General features: G+C 45.4%; 1 protein-coding gene and 1 long non-coding RNA gene across 3 annotated transcripts in view, besides 1 other annotated feature; one reads left to right on the forward strand and one right to left on the reverse strand.

Moving 5' to 3' along the window:
• SLC47A1 (solute carrier family 47 member 1) overlaps positions 1-18,351 on the forward strand; it is a 45,181-nt gene that overhangs the window by 24,740 nt on the left and 2,090 nt on the right. Inside the window, exons 11-16 of the mRNA NM_018242.3 lie at positions 1,595-1,703; positions 1,825-1,900; positions 8,197-8,266; positions 8,503-8,635; positions 12,885-12,979; positions 14,187-14,268. Of these exons, the coding sequence (NP_060712.2) occupies positions 1,595-1,703; positions 1,825-1,900; positions 8,197-8,266; positions 8,503-8,635; positions 12,885-12,979; positions 14,187-14,268 (565 nt within the window). The remainder of the gene's footprint in view (positions 1-1,594; positions 1,704-1,824; positions 1,901-8,196; positions 8,267-8,502; positions 8,636-12,884; positions 12,980-14,186; positions 14,269-18,351) is intronic.
• Positions 1,702-12,885, reverse strand: LOC105371578 (uncharacterized). Of its 2 annotated transcripts, none has more exons than XR_934310.4 (3): positions 12,252-12,885; positions 5,930-6,036; positions 1,702-1,932 (listed from the first exon to the last, which is right to left on the reverse strand). It is a non-coding gene; the product is annotated as an uncharacterized LOC105371578 (long non-coding RNA). The 2 variants fall into 2 exon arrangements; XR_001752814.3 differs by lacking the exon at positions 1,702-1,932 and adding an exon at positions 3,391-3,657.
• Positions 17,229-17,804: an enhancer, noted in NCBI's record as "NANOG-H3K27ac hESC enhancer chr17:19479135-19479710 (GRCh37/hg19 assembly coordinates)". NCBI's record gives its function as "activates a minimal SCP1, AML or CMV promoter by ChIP-STARR-seq in naive H9 embryonic stem cells {active_cell/tissue: H9 hESC(naive)}" and the evidence as "EXISTENCE:reporter gene assay evidence [ECO:0000049][PMID:30033119]".

The raw sequence follows: 18,351 nt of genomic DNA on the forward strand, positions 1-18,351 counted from the left end.
AGGCATGCACCACCACTCCCAGCTAATTTTTAAAAAAAATTTGGTCTTGTTATGTTGCCCAGGCTGGTCTCAAACTCCTGGGCTCAAGCAATCATTCCACCTTGGCCTTCCAAAGTGCTGGGATTACAGGCACAGCCATTGCACCCTGCCAGTATTAACTTTGATTGCTTGGTTAAGGTGGTACCTGCCAGGTTTCTCCTGTCAAGTTACTACCTTTCCCTTTGTAATGAATAAATAATTTGTCAGGCGATCTCTGTTTGTCCCTACTTGTGAATTTATAGGCAGAGACTCAGTCTTCTATTACTTTTTTATTTCTCAATCTGTGTATCAGATTTTCTTTAAGCTGGTCCATAGTCATCCTGATCCTAAGGCAATGTTCATGTTTCAACAAGTGATGACTCCTTTTTCCTTATTAATATTAATTTTTCAAGTGGTAACTTTATAAATAATAGTAATGGTAAATCTTTATTGAGCAATTCCTACATGCTTCTTCTAAGCAGTTAGCATGTATGGACTCATTAAGTTCCCACAATAGCCCAATGAGATAGGTTCTATGATTCAACTCCTTTTACAGATAAAACTCTGGAGGTTTTGAGAGGGTAAGTAACTTGCTCAGGGTGATGCAGCTGATAAAGTGGCTGTGCTGGGATTTGAGCCCAAGCAATCTGGCTTCAGAATCCTGATCCCTAACCACAATACAGGGTTGTTTCCCTGCAGTTCCTTTAGTGCCACTCCTGTCTTCTAAGCTGGATCCCTTGATGGTCTTTCAGAACAGACACTATGCCATGTGTGGAGGCGCATGCCTGTGATCCCAGCTACTTGAGAGGCTGAGGTTGCAGGATCGTTTGAGCCCAGGAGGTCGAGGCTGTAGTGAACTATGATTGTGCCACTGCACTCCAGCCTGAGGGACAGAGTGAGACCCTGTCCCTATTTATTTTATTTTATTTATTTATTTTGAGAAGGAGTTTCACTCTGTCGCACAGGCTGGAATGTAGTGGCACTATCGCAGCTCACTGCAACCTCCGCCTCCCAGGTTCAAGCGATTCTCCTGCCTCAGCCTGCTGAGTAGCTGGGATTACAGGCGTGCACCACCACGCCCAGCTAAGTTTTGTATTTTTTAATAGAGATGGGGTTTCACCATGTTGGCCAGGCTGGTCTCAAACTCCTGACCGCAAGTGATCCACCTGCCTCGGCCTCCCAAAGTGCTGGGATTACAGGCATGAGCCACCACGCCTGACCTCTGTCCCTATTTAAAAACAAAAACAAAAAAAAAACAGACAAAACCTGGGCTCCTGGTGAGTCAGTCCATCCCCCGACACCCAGAGGAGGAACATGGTTGTGCAGCACCCTCATGTCGCAGAGGTTGGAAGCTCTGCAGCAAAGCCCAGTTTGTGCTAAGCATCGTAACCTGGGGCTCAGTTTCCACAGTAGCGTGGGAGTTCCCGGCTAGACAAAGGGGATGTTGCAAATCAGTCTTTTCAAAACTTTTAGGACCAAGTTTTCCCACCAGGTGTGAGGCATGAGGCTGCTTCTCTGCACGTGTTCTCGCTCTGCAGTTTCTCACTCATTGTTGCAGGTTTCCTTTTTATTTTAGGTCCCTGCAGGCTTCAGTGTGGCTGCCAGTGTCCGGGTAGGAAACGCTCTGGGTGCTGGAGACATGGAGCAGGCACGGAAGTCCTCTACCGTTTCCCTGCTGATTACAGGTGCTGAGACCCCTTTACCCGAGGCTCTTGGTGCAGTCTCTGCATGCAAAACCCAGGCTCCTCCACTTCCTGTGGATCTTCTTGTTCACTGTGTTGTTTCTTCTGCCGTTTTTACCTTCAGTGCTCTTTGCTGTAGCCTTCAGTGTCCTGCTGTTAAGCTGTAAGGATCACGTGGGGTACATTTTTACTACCGACCGGTGAGTGCTAGGATTTTCTTGAAATGTGAAATCTGTGATAAAGAAATGGTTCATTGAGAAAATTTGTTCTCTAAAATCAGGCTGTTCAGAAACATTGCTGTTTGAAATCATATCAGTAAAAAGAAAACATCTCACTCACACCTGTAATCCCAGCACTTTGGGATCACCTGAGGTCAGGAGTTCAAGGCCAGCCTGACCAACATGGTGAAACCCTATCTCTACTAAAAATACAAAAATTAGCTGGGTGTGGTGGCAGACACCTGTAATCCCAGCTACTTGGGAGGCTGAAGCTGGAGAATCTCTTGAGCCCAGGAGGCAGAGGTTGCAGTGAGCCGAGATTGTGCCACTGCACTCCAGCCTGGGCAACAGAGCAAGACTCCGTCTTAAAAAAAAAAAAAAAAAGAAAGAAAGAAATGGTTCCTCCAAGAGCAAGATGCCAGCAGAAAAAGTTTTTTAAAACTAGGAATTTTTTTTAAAAAGAGGCCGGGCACAGTGGCTCACGCTGGTAATCCTAGCACTTTGGTATGTCAAGGCTGGCAGATCACCTGAGGTCAGGAGTTCGAGACCAGCCTGGCCAACATGGTGAAACCCCCATCTCCACTAAAAATACAAAAATTAGCTGGTCATGGTGGCACACGCCTGTAATCCCAGCTACTCAGGAGGCTGAGGTGGGAGAATCACTTGAACCCAGGAGGCAGAGGTGCCAGTGAGCCAAGATCGTGCCACTGCACTCCAGCCTGGGTGACAAGAATGAGACTCCATCTCAAAATTTAAAAAAGAAATGGTTAAATTGGATAGATGCTATCATAGAGGCCACCTATGGTTGTTGCAGCAGGGATGTCTGACTCATTTGCAAGATCAGAGGCTCGGCCGGGCGCGGTGGCTCACACCTGTAATCCCAGCACTTTGGGAGGTTGAGGCGGGTGGATCACAAGGTCAGGAGATCAAGACCATCCTGGCTAACACGGTGAAACCCCGTCTCTACTAAAAATAGAAAAAATTAGCTGGGCGTGGTGGCGGGCGCCTGTAGTCCCAGCTACTTGGGAGGCTGAGGTAGGAGAATGGCGTGAACCCGGGAGGTGGAGCTTGCAGTGAGCTGAGATCCCGCCACTGCACTCCAGCCTGGGCGACAGGGCAAGACTCTGTCTCAAAAAAAAAAAAAAAAAAAAGATCAGAGGCTCCACTGATGTTACTTGGGAAGAACATATTAGATGTAGGAACTGATGTATAATCTACAGTGCCAACTTAATGGGCATTGGTAATGATTTTATGCTTCTGCTGGTCATGTATTTTAAAGGTGGAAACCCCTTTTTAGTACGATTAATTACATTTTCAGTTAATTATTTTGTTTCCAGTGATAAGAATCCTCTTGGTTTCTTAGTATCGGCCAAAGTGCCCGGTTTGTAGTAGTTGCATAATATGTTTGTCAAACTGAATTGAAGTTAAAATCTCACCAGTGAGCTGTCTCAAAAGTCATATTCTCAGATTGATTACTGAAGAATTCTTGGATAAGTCCCCTCTGCTCTGCAGAATTTGTTTCCTTCATCAGCGATGCTAGTGTGTACATTCGGACTATATAGAAACTTCGTGGGGGTACTTCTTATTTGGACACCTTTGTCAGCAGTTACAAAATGCAAATGGACTTTGCCTTCCTGGATTCAGAAAGCTGGTGGAGCGGACAGAACTAATTTCATGGTTTATTCTTCACACATTTGACTTTTGACTTCAGATCGTAGGTTTTCATTTTTCAGCTTCAGCTATTTTGTTATGGGGAAATAAGATGTTTAGGCCAGGCACGGTGGCTCACTCCTGTAATCCCAACACTTTGGGAGGCTGAGGCAGATGGATTGCCTGAGTTTAGGAGTTCAAGACCAGCTGGTCGACATGGGGAAACCCTGTCTCTACTAAAAATACAAAAAAAATTAGCTAGGCGTGGTGAGGCACGCCTGCAATCCCAGCTACTCAGGAGGCTGAGGCAGGAGAATCACTTGAACCTGGGAGACGGAGGGTGCAGTGAGCTGAGATTGTGCCACTGCACTCCAGCCTGGGCAACAGAGTGAGACTCTGTCTCAAAAAAAAAAAAAAAGTTTATAACTCCCTCACTCAGAATGAGTGGGGAAGGCGATGGCAAATAGTTGGCTTTTCTCACAAAGGGAATCAGGATGAACTTTATGAGGACCAGGATAAATGGATGGTTTCAGAAGGAATATAGTAGAAGCTGGACTCTGAATCTGTCCACTTGGGAAACCATACAGCCCAGGAAAAGAATGAAAAACAAGAGGCCCACAAACTATAGAACTGACGAGATGAGGAAACATCAGAAACTCAACAATCAAATTACTTGTAAGGTGGCCAGGATCAACCCAACCTGGTAGAATCGGTGAAAGAGATGAACCTCTACCTAACTTAATCACAGGGGGCGGGAAACGGCACCTCTAACAAATAAAGGGGGACGTTACTACTAAACACAATCATTTTTAAAAATCCTAAGAGACTACTTTGCACAACTTTTTCCAAGGAAATCTAAAAATGTGGAATAAACAGATAATTTTCTAGGGAAATAATTGATCAGTATGTACCCTAGAAAAGATAGAAGGTCTAAATAACTGATTTCCTGTAAGAAATAAGAGAAAGCTTTTTTTTTTTTTTTTTTTTTTTTGACGGAGCCTCCCTCTGTCGCCCAGGCTGGAGTGCAGTGGCATGATCTCAGCTCACTGCAAGCTCTGCCTCCCGGGTTCACGCCATTCTCCTGCCTCAGCCTCCCAAGTAGCTGGGACTACAGGCGCCCGCCACCACGCTCGGCTAATTTTTTGTATTTTTGGTAGAGATGGGGTTTCACCGTGTTAGCCAGGATGGTCTCGATCTCCTGACCTTGTGATCCGCCCGCCTCGGCCTCCCAAAGTGCTGGGATTACAGCCATAAGCCACCACGCCCGGCCGAGAAAGCTATTTTAAAATGTCAAAAAGCACAATCCCAGAAGGTTCCAAAGGATAATTTTATAAAATCTTCAAAACATGGGGAATTGCAAACATAGATAAAACAGAAAATTTCAGAGCACAGGAAAAGGAAAACTTTGCATTCTGTTTATGAAGCAAATATAACATTGGTGCCAAAATCTGACAAAGTTTGCACATAAAAAAGAAAGAAAATCACAGATCACTCTTATGTATTAATATGAATTTAAAAATCCAAAATAAAATGTTATTAGACATAGGCTGGGCGCGGTGGCTCACGCCTGTAATCCCAGCACTTTGGGAGGCCGAGGTGGGTAGATCACGAGGTCAGGAGATCGAGACCATCCTGGCTAACATGGTGAAACCCTGTCTCTACTAAAAAATACAAAAAATTAGCCGGGCGTGGTGGCACGCACCTGTAGTCCCAGCTACTCGGGAGGCTGAGGCAGGAGAATGGCGTGAACCCGGGAGGCGGAGCTTGCAGTGAGCCGAGATTGAGCCACTGCACCCCAGCCTGGGCGACAGAGCGAGACTCCGTCTCAGACAAAAAAAAAATGTTATTAGACAGAATTTAGCAGCACATTGAAAAGAATATATTTGGGTGAAATATAAAAGTGAATATAGGCCAGGCGCGGTGGCTCATGCCTGTAATCCCAACACTTTGGGAGACTGAGGCAAAAGGATCACTTGAGCCCAGGAGTTCAAGACCAGCCTGGGAAACATGGCGAAACCCCATCTCTACAAAAAATAAAATTTAGCTGGGCATGGTGGTGTGCACCTGTAGTCCTAGCTACTCAAGAAGCTGAGGTGGGAGGATCACTTGAGCCTGAGAGGTTGAGGCTGCAGTGAGCCATGATTGCATCACTCCACTCCAGCCTGGGTGACAGTGAGACCCTGTCTAAAAAAAAAAGTGAATATAATATCTCAGGTGGAAAAAGCAAGGTGCAGAACATCATATAGAGAATGCTGCATGTGAAATGATAGAATATAGAAAGGAAAATTAAGAATATACATTTGTATTTGCTTATATTTTCATAGACACTAGACAAACATGGAACGTGCTAGGAATTGTTACCTGGAGGAGGCAGGGCTGGTACTGGGGCAAACTGGAAGGGCATTGCAGTAAGACTTTGCTTACTATCTTGTTCATATTGTTCCATTTTTTGACCATGTGCATGTTACCTATTCAAAAAATAAAATTTGAATAAAATAATTATATTTCTGTCCTTTTTGGTGAGGAGGAAGTGATCATCTTGTTCAGTGCTGGATTTCTTTTCTTTTCTTTTTTTTGAGATGGAGTTTCGCTCTTGTTGCCCAGGCTGGAGTGCAATGGCACGATCTCGGCTCATCGCAATCTCCGCCTCCTGGTTTCAAGTGATTCTCCTGCCTCAGCCTCCCGAGTAGCTGGGATTACAGGCATGCACCACCACACCTGCTAATTTTGTATTTTTAGAAGAGATGGGAGTTCTCCATGTTGGTCAGGCTGGTCTCGAACTCACCACCTCAGGTGATCTGCCTGCCTTGGCCTCCCAAAGTGCAGGGATTACAGGCATGAGCCACCACTCCTGGGCCAGTGCTGGATTTCTTATTTAGTAATTAAACAAGTATTTATTGGGAGACAGTCTTCTAGGTTCTAGTTTAGAGTGACAAAACTCACTCCAAGGGTGTTGTGAATTTCCTGCTTCCCCAGGTCAGGGCAGCATTTTTCTCATCTCCCTTCACATGCAGAGGTTAGAATCCAAGTCTCTAGCTTTAGGGGTTCCATTTCTAGGAACCAAGGATAATTCTGCAGAATATATCTATGGCCTTTACCAACCTTCGTTCCATAGAGGGAACTTAATTTTTACTCTGTAGTGCTTCACTGAGGCTTACTAGGAGACACAGTCAGACTTGGCCTGTGGCATCATCTTAAAAGAAGGATGATCATAGCATCCAAACTTGCCGGGATGATAGGTGCGTGCCACTGTGCCCAGCCAAACTTCTTTTCAGCTGATGGGGAACGGGGGAGGGATGTCACCAAATCCCTTGATTTGTCTACACTGACCAGATGGACTATGCGGTAACCCCTCTTTATCCTTGGTTTTGCTTTCCAAGGTTTAGTCACCTGCAGTCAATTTTGGTCTGAAAATCTTTTTTTTTTTTTTTTTTTTTGAGATGGACTCTCGCTCTGTCGCCCAGGCTGGAGTGCAGTGGCATGATCTCAGCTCACTGCGAGCTCTGCCTCCCAGGTTCACGCCATTCTCCTGTCTCAGCCTCCCCAGCAGCTGGGACTACAGGCGCCCGCCACCACGCCCGGCTAATTTTTTTGTATTTTTAGTAGAGACGGGGTTTCACCATGTTAGCCAGGATGGTCTCGATCTCCTGACCTTGTGATCCGCCCGCCTCGGCCTCCCAAAGTGCTGGAATTACAGGCGTGAGCCACCGTGCCTGGTGGTCTGAAAATCTTAAGTGGAAAATTCCAGAAATAAACAATTCATAAGTTTTCAATTGCGTGCGGTTATGAGTATTAGGAGGAAATCTCACGTCCCGCCTGGGACATGAAATCATCCCTTTGTCCAACATCTCCACGCTGTGTGTGCTTTCCACCCGCTAGTTATTTCAGATTGACTGTTTTGGTATCACAGTGCTAGTAATCCCAAAGCACAAAAGTAGTGATGCTGGCATGTGGTTATGGCCTACTTTATTACTACTGTTGTTACTCTCTTACTGTGCCCAAATTATGAATTAACATTATCATAATGTATTTGTGTATAAGGAAAACACAATGTATTTAGGGTTCAGTCCTCTCTGCGATTTCAGGCATCCACTGGGGGACTTGAAACATATCTCTTGAAGACAAGGGTGTGGTGCTGCCTATTTTTTCTAAAAGCTGTGAGATACAACATGCAGTTAGTTTCCTCTATGGACCCAGCAACAGGTGAACTGTCCCTGACTAGGCTGCTGGCCTCAATGCATGTGCATGTCTGTAATATGCAGAAAGCTATATACTTTTTTTTTTAAGACAGTCTCGCTCTGTCATTCAGGCTGAAGTGCAGTGATGAGATCTCAGCTCACTGCAACCTCTGCCTCCCGGGTTCAAGCGATTCTCCTGCCTCAGCCTCCTGAGTAGCTGGGATTACAGGTACCCACCACCAGGCCTGGCTAATTTTATATTTTTAGTAGATACGGGGTTTCACCATGTTGGCCAGGCTGGTCTCAAACTCCTGACCTCAGGTGATCCTCCCGCCTCAGCCTCCCAAAGTGCTGAGATTACAGGCATGAGCCACTGCGCCTAGCCAGAAAGCTATATACTTCTTTCTCCACTTTGTCTCCTAATCACCACGTGCTTTATTTTCCTAACAGAGACATCATTAATCTGGTGGCTCAGGTGGTTCCAATTTATGCTGTTTCCCACCTCTTTGAAGCTCTTGCTGTAAGTATTATGTAGTAGTCCCCTAAGCACTGTTATGATCTTCTGATGGTGGTAAATTTCAGCTGAGAGGAGGGGCCAGCATAGGTAGGAAGATTGAATATTGTTACCACATTTCGTTTAGAAGGATACTGTCACCTTACCATGGATTTTAGCACAGAATATGAAGTGCTCGGGAGATGGGAGTGTTTCAAGAGCGCCGGATGTGTTCACAGTGATGGAATGCTCTCTGCCTGCAGTGCACGAGTGGTGGTGTTCTGAGGGGGAGTGGAAATCAGAAGGTTGGAGCCATTGTGAATACCATTGGGTACTATGTGGTTGGCCTCCCCATCGGGATCGCGCTGATGTTTGCAACCACACTTGGAGTGATGGGTAAGCTCTAACCTCTGCAGGCAGGGCTTAGCTGCTCACCAGCCCAGGAAATGACCGTCGGAGCACACGGGTCTTTGACTGAGGCTCACCTCTGAAACTCGGGAGCTCGCCCACGTCCATTCTGTGTCTTGTCAGAGAGTGTAGGGGGCGTTCAGGAGGTGACCTCCAGCTCTAGCCAGGGCCCCAAGGCTATGTGGTCCTGCCCCTCACACCCCTGCGGGCGATCTTCCACGCTGACACACTTGAGCACAGATGCCCTTTCTACCAACCTCCTATCCTGAGTCATCCAGCCCTCACTTCTCTAAAGGAGGCAACAGCAGGGACCGCTGAAGAAGCATTTGGAAGCATCCCCTTAGTGTGTTTCGTGCTGTTCTTTAGAGACAGCATGTGAGCCCCTGAGGGTGACTCTGCAGGGCCAGGGCTATCGTAGGCGGTCCTGCGTGCGTGGGGTGCTGCAGGGTCTGCACTCACGGTGGCACTCTGCATCCTAGAGCAGTGCCCCATGTGCTCACCAAGCAGCATGGCTGGATCCTTGGAGGGCAATGGGTGGCCAGTGCCCTTCTCATCACCCTCATCGCACTCCGCAGCCTCCACCTCCCTCCTTGTGCAGCCTTAGCTCTGTGCCCCCACAGAGCTCCCCACAAGGCCATACACGTGGTCGGTGTGAACAGCACAGAAGGAAGGGGGCGGACTTGAGCACCTTCCCACATTTGGAAGAAAAAACTTAATCCACAGCATCTGAAATTACCAGAGCTAATCTTTTTAAAAAGTACGGAAATAAATGACTGCCCAGCTTTGATTTCTAAAATAATAATTTGGAACATATTGGCAGTTAATAAATGATGATATGAAAACCTGGACATTTATCTTTGGGGTGAGTAGTGACTGACTTAAAGCGTGGCTTGTTTTGATTCATCTGTACTTGGCAGGCTCAGAGGTGGTGAGAAGTCAACTGATACCTACAGGGAACTTCCAGTTCAGTATGTTCCTTTATGTGGCACATTTTTCTCAAGTTCAATAATATTTTAATTAAAAATACAGGAGTTGTTCAAAGAATAGTATTGCCAATGCAAAGTTCATTGGGCTTGCATGATAGTGCAGAAAATTATTTAGCTGAGTTTCTGGTGCGATTCATAGTTTGGATTTGCCAATTGCCTAGCTAATGCAAATATTATAGAAATCTAATTTATTTTTATTTTTAAAGTAATGTATTTTATGTAACACAATATGTCTAAAATTATTGCAACGTGCAATCAGTATAAAATATTAAGGAAATAATTTAAATTCTCTATATTATATCTTTTAAACTTTAAATTGACAAATTATAGTTGTATACATTTATGGGGTACAGTGTGGTGTTTTGATATATGTATAAAATGTGGAATGATTAAATTAAGCTAATTAACATACTTATCACCACTTATTTTTTATGGTGAGACATTTGAAATTTACTTAGTTAATTCAAAATGTGCAGTACATTGACTACAGTCACCCTGGTGTGCAATTGATCTCAAAACTTATTCTTCCTGTCTATCAGAAATTTGTACCTTAACAACTCCCCATTCCCATGCCCTCCCCTCCTTGCCACCAGTCCCTGCTAACCATCATTCTACTCTCTACTTCTATGAGTTCAACTTTTTTAGAAGAGGAGTCTACTTTATTCTCCTGTTTCATTTTTTACAGATGGGGTCTTGCTATGTTGCCCAGGCTGGTCTCAAACTCCTTGACTCAAGTGATCCTCCCACCTTGGCCTCCCAAGTATCTGGGATTACAGGCATGAGGAACCTGCTTTGAAATATAAATCCATCTGTATCCCAAGTGCCGTCCTTGGCTCACCTATTCATTTAACAGAATATATCTAGGCCAGGCACAGTGGCTCATGCCTGTAATTCCAGCACTTTGGGAGGCTGAGGTGGGTGGTTCACTTGAGGTTAAGAGTTTGAGACCAACCTGGGCAACTTGGCGAAACCCCGTCTCTACTAAAAATACAAAAATTAGCCAGGTGTGGTGGTGTGCGCCTGTAGTTCCAGCTACTTGGGAGGCTGAGGCACAAGAATTGCTTGAACCCGGGAGGCGGAGGCTGCAGTGAGCAAGATGGCACCACTGCACTCCAGCCTGGGCGACAGAGTGAGACTCTACCTTAAAAAAAAAAAGCGTAACTAATTGTGCAAAGTAGAAGAGGAAGTTGAGAATCACTGAAAAGAAATGGTGGGGGCCCTGGGGATGTGAGGGCTCTATGAGAAGCCTATAGTCAATCCCCCCCACCCACCTATTAGAAGAAATTGTGGTACGAATTGGTTTTGAGTATTGTGTCTCCTGGTATGGTATGCAGTATACCTATACAAGGTGTCTAGGAGAGCATCAGAATTCTGCAGGTTCTCAGAAGCAACCTCAGGAAATCATAATGACCCTCAGAATCCCTGGGAGACATTTTAAATATGTAAATTCCTGGGCCTTGCCCATGAGATCTAATAATCATCCCACTTTGGGCTCATAGGTTGGGTCAAATAGAAATCTTTTAAATGATGTATGCTAAAATTATTGGAAATCTAATTCATAACTTTCAAATTATAGCTGGAGTTAGCTGGTTATTTCCTGTTTAAGGTGGTTCAGGTGAGCTTGTAGTTTCTATGTACTGAGAACACTGGATTTGAAAGAGGAAGCCAGTAGCTTGCTTTTACTAATTTTTTATAGGACTAGCAGGTGGCACCAACTATACTATTCTAAGAGCAGGCTAGGCTGGGCGTAGTGACTCATACCTATAATCCTAGTGCTTTGGAAGCCAAGGCAGGAGGATCACTTGACTCTAGGAGTTGGAGGCTGTAGTGAGCTGTGGTCATGCCACTGCTCTCCAGCCTGGGCAACAGAGCAAGACCCTGACTCTAAAAAGCAAACAAACAAACAAAAGGGCAGGCTGATCATACCTGAAAAATGTGATTGGTACCAAGAAACAGAGCTGTAAAACCTGTACCGAATCCATAAACCAGGAACCCAGACTAGCCACCTTAACCCTTACATAGATCTGGACAGCTGTGGAAATAAACCAGGACCAACCAAGCAAGACAAGCAAAGTCTGTGTATTCTCAGCAAGGGTGTTGGCTGCCACCACTTGCATTTGGGCAGAAACTCAAAGGCAGGCAAAGGAGTGGGAAAGCGTCACAGTGGATAAAAGGGGAGGCTGCAGGTGTGTCCTGAGTGGAGATTGTTGATCTGGGGGATGCTGGAGGTGGCTGACTAGAAATGGGCCTCCCATGTGATTGGTTAGGGGGATGTATTTTACTTTCTCTGGTTGGTCCTAAGTTGGAAGTGCAGACCAAAATTAGGCAAGCTGTCAGTTGCTAATCAAGTCCTGGCCATCTGGGGCCAATCGTTACAGAAGTTACTGGTTAGCTTCCTGGATTGTTACCAAAGGCAGCGATCTTGCTTCCTGCAAGTCTGATTTAGGGAAGGCTGGCTTCCTGGGTTTATTGTAGATGGGGTGGGGTTTCTTGGGCAGGGTGCTGCAGGTTGTGAGGCAGAGGTCTGTTTTTATTACGGTCAGGACTTTGTCTCTTGGTTATTGTTGGAGCTTTTGGTTCTGCCATTAGTTTACTGTTGACCAAAAAACCCTCCTCACCTGGGGTCTCCCTCTGTGCCCTGTGTGGTGCCTTGAGATTCACAGGGCTTTTCCCGCCATCCATTCCCACCTGGCCTGCCTTTGGTGTTCTCCAGTCATCTGTAGGTGCTCAGCCCTGCTCTGGAAGCTTCTAGCAAAGTCTGTGTCAGAAGCAAGTTAAGGTCCAAGGTCTGGCAGGAACTCTGAGGAAGAGAACATTAGTAGTTTATATGGCTAGTGATTTCTGCTTTTTTTTTTTTTAATGTTAGTCCCCTTTTTTGAGGAAACCAGGGCAGAAGTAGTTGGTCCTGGGAAATTTTAATTTCCTTATAACTGGCATTTTTCTTAATATTCAAGCATTATAATCAGTAAGGCCAAAAATATCCTCTGAATATTTGTTCCGAAATCCTGAACCAAAAGAGATGGCCCTTTTGGGGGTGGCCTCAAGGAGTACTGGGCTTTCCAGAACCTTCTGGAACCTTCTGGAAGCCTGAGGAGGAGCAGGATAGAGGTCTCTGGCCCGCTGTGGGCTCCACCTCAGCCATGAAAGCAGATATTCAGTATGGCTGACAGAAGTGATATAGGCAAAACATACTCCCCAGGGGCAGCTGGTTTTCTATGGAATTAACCTCTATTAAATATTTCTATTTCTAGGTCTGTGGTCAGGGATCATCATCTGTACAGTCTTTCAAGCTGTGTGTTTTCTAGGCTTTATTATTCAGCTAAATTGGAAAAAAGCCTGTCAGCAGGTAACTATGTTCATTCTGTCCCGGTAAAGGTTCCTCTCCTAGAAAAACAGGATCTGATCTGGCTCTCCCTTTTTTCTTTTGGAAAGTTCTTTTCTCATTTTCTTTATTCTTATCTCATGAATACTATTGTTCTTGTTGTTTTAACTAGACAGTTCAGATGTGAAGGGCCAGATGATCCTGGCTTTATCTATTCCCAGAAAAACAGGGGACTCCTTTCTTCCTTGTCTCCCATGCCAGGCTGTCACCCTTGTGCAGGAAAATCCAATTTCAGGACAAGAATTAGAACTGGAGAGAAATGTGGGATGCATCAAAGTCATCCTGATGTTGTTTTTATGGTCTCCAAATGTTTTGTTAAGATACTTGTGTGCATCCTTCCCTTCAACTTTCTAGGGTCAGTGTGAGGTCTAGAAATAGGTGGTAGAAAAATGAGATGAGTCGAGGTACAGTGGCTTATGCCTGTAGTCCCAGCTATTCAGGAGGCTGAGGCAGGAGGATCGCTTGAGCCCTAGAGTTCGAGGCTGCAGTCATCTGTGATCACTGCACTCCAGCCTGAGTGATGGAGCGAGACCCTGTCTCTACAAATAAAAATGTTTTAAAAAGAAAGAGATAAAGTAAAAAGGGAGAGTTCTAAATGATCTTGGTCCCTCTCTTGTCCCTGTCTCCCTCACCCTGTACTGTTCCCATCCCACCTTCCCTTTCATGGACCCCATTTCAGCCTTTTCTGTTTTCTTTTTCTTAAGAGACAGGCTCTCACTCTGTCACCCAGGCTGGACTATAGTGGCAGGATCACATCTCGCTGGAGTCTCAACCTCCTGGGCTCAAGTGATCCTCCTGTCTCAGCCTCCCAGGTAGTTGGGAATACAGACATGCGCCACCATGCCTGGCTGTTTTTTTTGTTGTTGTTGTTATTTTTTTGTTTTTAATTTTTTAATTGAGATGGGATCTTGCTGTGTTGCGCAGGCTGGCCTTGAATTCCTGGGCTCAAGCAATCCTCTCTCCTCAGCCCCCCAAAGTGCTGGGATTACAGGTGTGAGCACTGAGCCTGGCCCCATTTCAATCTTTATGAAAGATGACCTGTGAATGAGAGGAACTTCAGCTATACATGCCAATTAAGGAAAATGGCTTGGCTCTTCCTAAACTAGGTGGTCAAGTAAAATACCATATTAACACTATTGTGAAGCCTGATGGACTGAGTTTCATTTTCCAGGCTCAGGTACACGCCAATTTGAAAGTAAACAACGTGCCTCGGAGTGGGAATTCTGCTCTCCCTCAGGATCCGCTTCACCCAGGTAAGATATGACTCCCTCAGCCCTTGGACAGGCCTGTCTAGGTAGGACTGGAGGGGCTGTTAGTGAGACACAGCTAGATTTGCTGCTATGAGCTCTCATTTAAATAGGGCAATAATGTTTCAGAAACACATGATAAAGCCAAGTAACACACAATTCAAGGTAAACTGAGTTCATTCCACACATTAGTAAACCGCTATAGATGACTGAAAGGTCCCCAGTTCCTCCCCTAATTTCTGCAAGCACTTTGCAGGCATTTCTAACACTTGGAAATACTGTGCTTCTACCATAGCTTAGAAACTGACATTTGTTTGTTTTAATGGGGTCCCTGCTGTTCATCAGGCAGACACTTGTGGGCTTTAAACAGGTCGTTGCTTGGACCTTTGCTTCTGATTCACATTGTGCAAATGTGGTTATGGTTTTCTTCAGTCAGTTGAGTAATCCCCCCGATTCCTGGCCCCTTAGGCAGTTAGCCACCCACTCTCAGTAACCCTTGCTCCTTTATAATTTAAACACTTTGACTTCATAGAATGGCTGATACTTAGTCAGTGGTCAGTTGTGTTGTTTCTGCCAATTTTCATTCATGTTGTCTAGGCTCCTGTGCTGTGTGTCTGGTTATCTTTGATTTTAATTTATTTTTAAATTAATTTTTTAAAATTAAAGAAAAACTTTTTTTTTTTTAAATAGAAAGAGGGTCTTGCCCTGTTGCCCATGATGGTGTGCAGTGTAGCTCACTGCACCCTTTACATCTTGGGCTCAAGCGATCCTCCTGCCTTGGCCTCCCAAAGCAGTGGGATTACAGGCGTGAGCCACCACACCTGGCCTGGTTATCTTTGATTATGTTCCAGACTTTATATTTGAAAATTGTTCATAGAAGTAACTTGAGCCTGAAAGAATGTTGTCTATTTATCTTCAGAGAGGATTTTCTTTTCCTTCTGTTGGACACTGAGGGTGACCAGCAGTCTAGGGCAATCTTGGAAATGGAGCTTTCTGGAGCACCCAGCCAAACTGAAGGTGTGCTGCAGCCAGTGTGAGGCTTGGTTTACTTCTTCTGGTTCATGCTTTTTTTTTTTTTTTTTTTTTAAAAGCAGTCTCACCCTATTGCCCAGGCTGGAGTGCAATGGTGCGATCTCAGCTCACTGCAACCTCCGCCTCCCGGGTTCAAGCGATTCTCCTGCCTCAGCTTCCCAAGTAGCTGGGATTATAGGCGCCCACCACCATACCTGGCTAATTTTTGTATTTTTAGTGGATATGGAGTTTCACCACGTTGGTCAGGCTGGTCTCGAACTCCTGACCACAAGTGATCCACCCTCCTCGGCCCCCCAAAGTGCTGGGATTACAGGCGTGAGCCACCACACCTGGACTGGTTCATCCTTAAGTCTTGGATGCAGCCCTTTGGGGTTCTAACCACAAGTACAGAGAGGTTTGCCAGGGCCTGATTCTTGGTAGGTACCCAAGTCGCCAAAGCCCTGGTCAGCGTCTCAGTCATGTGATCTGGATGTAGGTCTCTCTGACCTGCATCCTCTCATCTCTCTGATCTGAATGAACTCTCTGATGTGAAGCAGCCTCAGAGGCTGGGCAGCCCCTCTGGGTTTCCTTCGTCCCTGGATCTTGCCCTGGTGACTCTTCATTACATTGTTTGCATTCTGATGCCTTCAAGATGATATTTAATTTGTTTTATTGAGGTTCTATAATGATCTTCAGGGAAGGGTTGGTGGATGTTTTCTACCATCTTGCCAATTTCCCTGATTTGTGAAATCCGCATAACAATAGCACTTATCCCTGTTGTTGTTTTTGAGTCTCACTCTGTCGCCCAGGCTGGAGTGCAGTGGCTCGTTTTCACTGCAACCTCTATCTCCCAGGTTTAAGTGATTCTCCTGCCTCAGCCTCCTGAGTAGCTGGGATTACAGGTGTGTGCGGTGGTGTACCACCACACCCTGCTAATATTTGTATTTTTAGCAGAGACGGGATTTCACCATGTTGGCCAGACTTTTCTTGAACTCCTGACCTCAAGTGATCCGCCTGGCTCGGCCTCCCAAAGTACTGGGATTACAGGCGTGAGCCACCACACCCGGCCTAACAATGGCACTTACTTTTATACTACCGCTGTTGGGGTTGAGAAGCACCCAGAACTGCCTGACCAGGGAAAGCATTTTGTTAAGTGTGAGCTGGTATGATTCTGTTCAAAATGATTTTCTTTTTCTCCCTCCCTCCCTCCCTCCCTTTTTCTCTCTTTCTCTCTTTCTCTGTCACCCAGGCTGGAGTGCAGTGGTGCGATCAAGGTTCACTGCAGCCTTGACCTCCTGGGCTCAAGCAACCTGCCTGTCTCAGCCTTCCAAAGTGCTGGGATTAGAGGCATGAGCCACTGCACCCGGCCCAAAATGATTTTCTTTCAGAACTCTGAGGATATTGCTACATTCCTAACATTCATCCACTTATGCTCATTAGGAAGTGGGATGGCCAAGCTTATTCTCGTGCCATTATGTAATATGCCTTCATTTTTCTCTTCGGAAGCTTTTAGGACATTTTCTTATTATTATTCCTTTTTTTTTTTTTTTGAGATAGGGTCTTGTTCTGTCACCCAGGCTGGAGTGCAGTGGTGCAATTATAGCTCACTGCAGTCTCAAACTCCTAGGCTCAAACAGTCCTCCCGTTTTAGCCTCCTGAGTAGCTGGGATTACAGGTGCGTGCCACTATGCTCAGCTAACTCTTTAATATTTTTGTAGAGACCAGGTCTTGCTTTGCAGCCCAGGTTGGTCTTGAACTTCTGGATTCAAGCAATCCTCCTGCTTTAGCCTCTCAAAGTGTTGGGATTACAGGTGTGAACCACCACGCCTGGCCTATTACTCTTACTGTTCTGAAGTGTCTTGAGACTAAGTCTAGGTGTGAATCATTATCTGCTTGAAACTGTTGGGGTGAAGGAGAAGCTATCCCCTTGCCCTCCGATGGTTCACTGAAAAATCAACTTATAATAAGGCCGATGAATAAGAGAAAAGGCATACAAATGTATTTAACCATGCAAAAGGGAAGAATCACAGTCATTACCCAACATCCCAGTGAGGCCCAACACTCATATAACCAACTTTCAGAGGGGAGAGAGGAGATAGGGCATTTGGTGCTTCTGTTGAGGGATAGTAAATGAGTACTAGGGAAAATGATTGAATATTTTGCAGAATGAATGGATTGGGGGCAGGGTGGACAGACTGGTTCCCTTTGGAAGTTGAATGAACCTGAGAGACTGGCATTATTTTGTAAAAGGTTTGGCAATTGTTCTTCTTGGTGGGTTTGTCTGGCTTTTATGTAGATGGGGAAAAGTCTCTTTCAAGGCCTGTTGATCTCCAAAGAGTTTTTAATTTAAAATACTCATTATACCAGGGAGCCATATCTTGGGGTGAAATTCTCTGCAATCCTTCAATACTTAGTAGGCCCTTTGATGTGAACGGTCACATCTTTCTCCCATTCTGTGAATAGCCTTGTATTCTTTCTTCCTTCCTTTTTTTTTTTTTTTTTTGACACTGGGTCTCTCTCTGTCACTCAGGCTGGACTGCAGTAGCACAATCATAGCTAACTGCACCTCGATATCCTGGGCTCAAGTGATCCTCCCACCTCAGTCTCCCAAGTAGTTGGGACTATAGGCATACGCCATCAGGCCCAGCAAAGTTTTTGTTTGTAGAGATGAGGTATCACTATGTTGCCCAGGCTGGTCTTGAACTCCTGGGCTCAAGGGATTCTCCCACCTCAGCATCCCAAAGTGTTGGAATTACGGGCGTGAGCCATCGCACCCAGACTTGAATTATTTCTTAGGTTGTTTCTCCTTGTGTTTTGTTCTGAAATGCTTATTAGATGGGTGTTGGCTCCTTGAAAATTTCCCCTGTGAATCCTTTTTTTTTTTTCCCTTGGAGTGGAGTTTTGCTCTTGTTGCCCAGGCTAGAGTGCAATGGCACCATCTTGGCTCACCCAAACCTCTGCCTCCTGGGTTCAAGCGATTCTCCTGCCTCACTGCCTCAGCCTCCTGAGTAGCTGGGATTACAAGCATGTGCCACCATGTCCGGCTAATTTTGTATTTTTAGTAGAGACGGGGTTTCT

The sequence above is a fragment of the Homo sapiens genome, chromosome 17 (genome assembly GCF_000001405.40).
Source record: "Homo sapiens chromosome 17, GRCh38.p14 Primary Assembly".
In the NCBI taxonomy this organism is placed as follows: domain Eukaryota; kingdom Metazoa; phylum Chordata; class Mammalia; order Primates; family Hominidae; genus Homo; species Homo sapiens.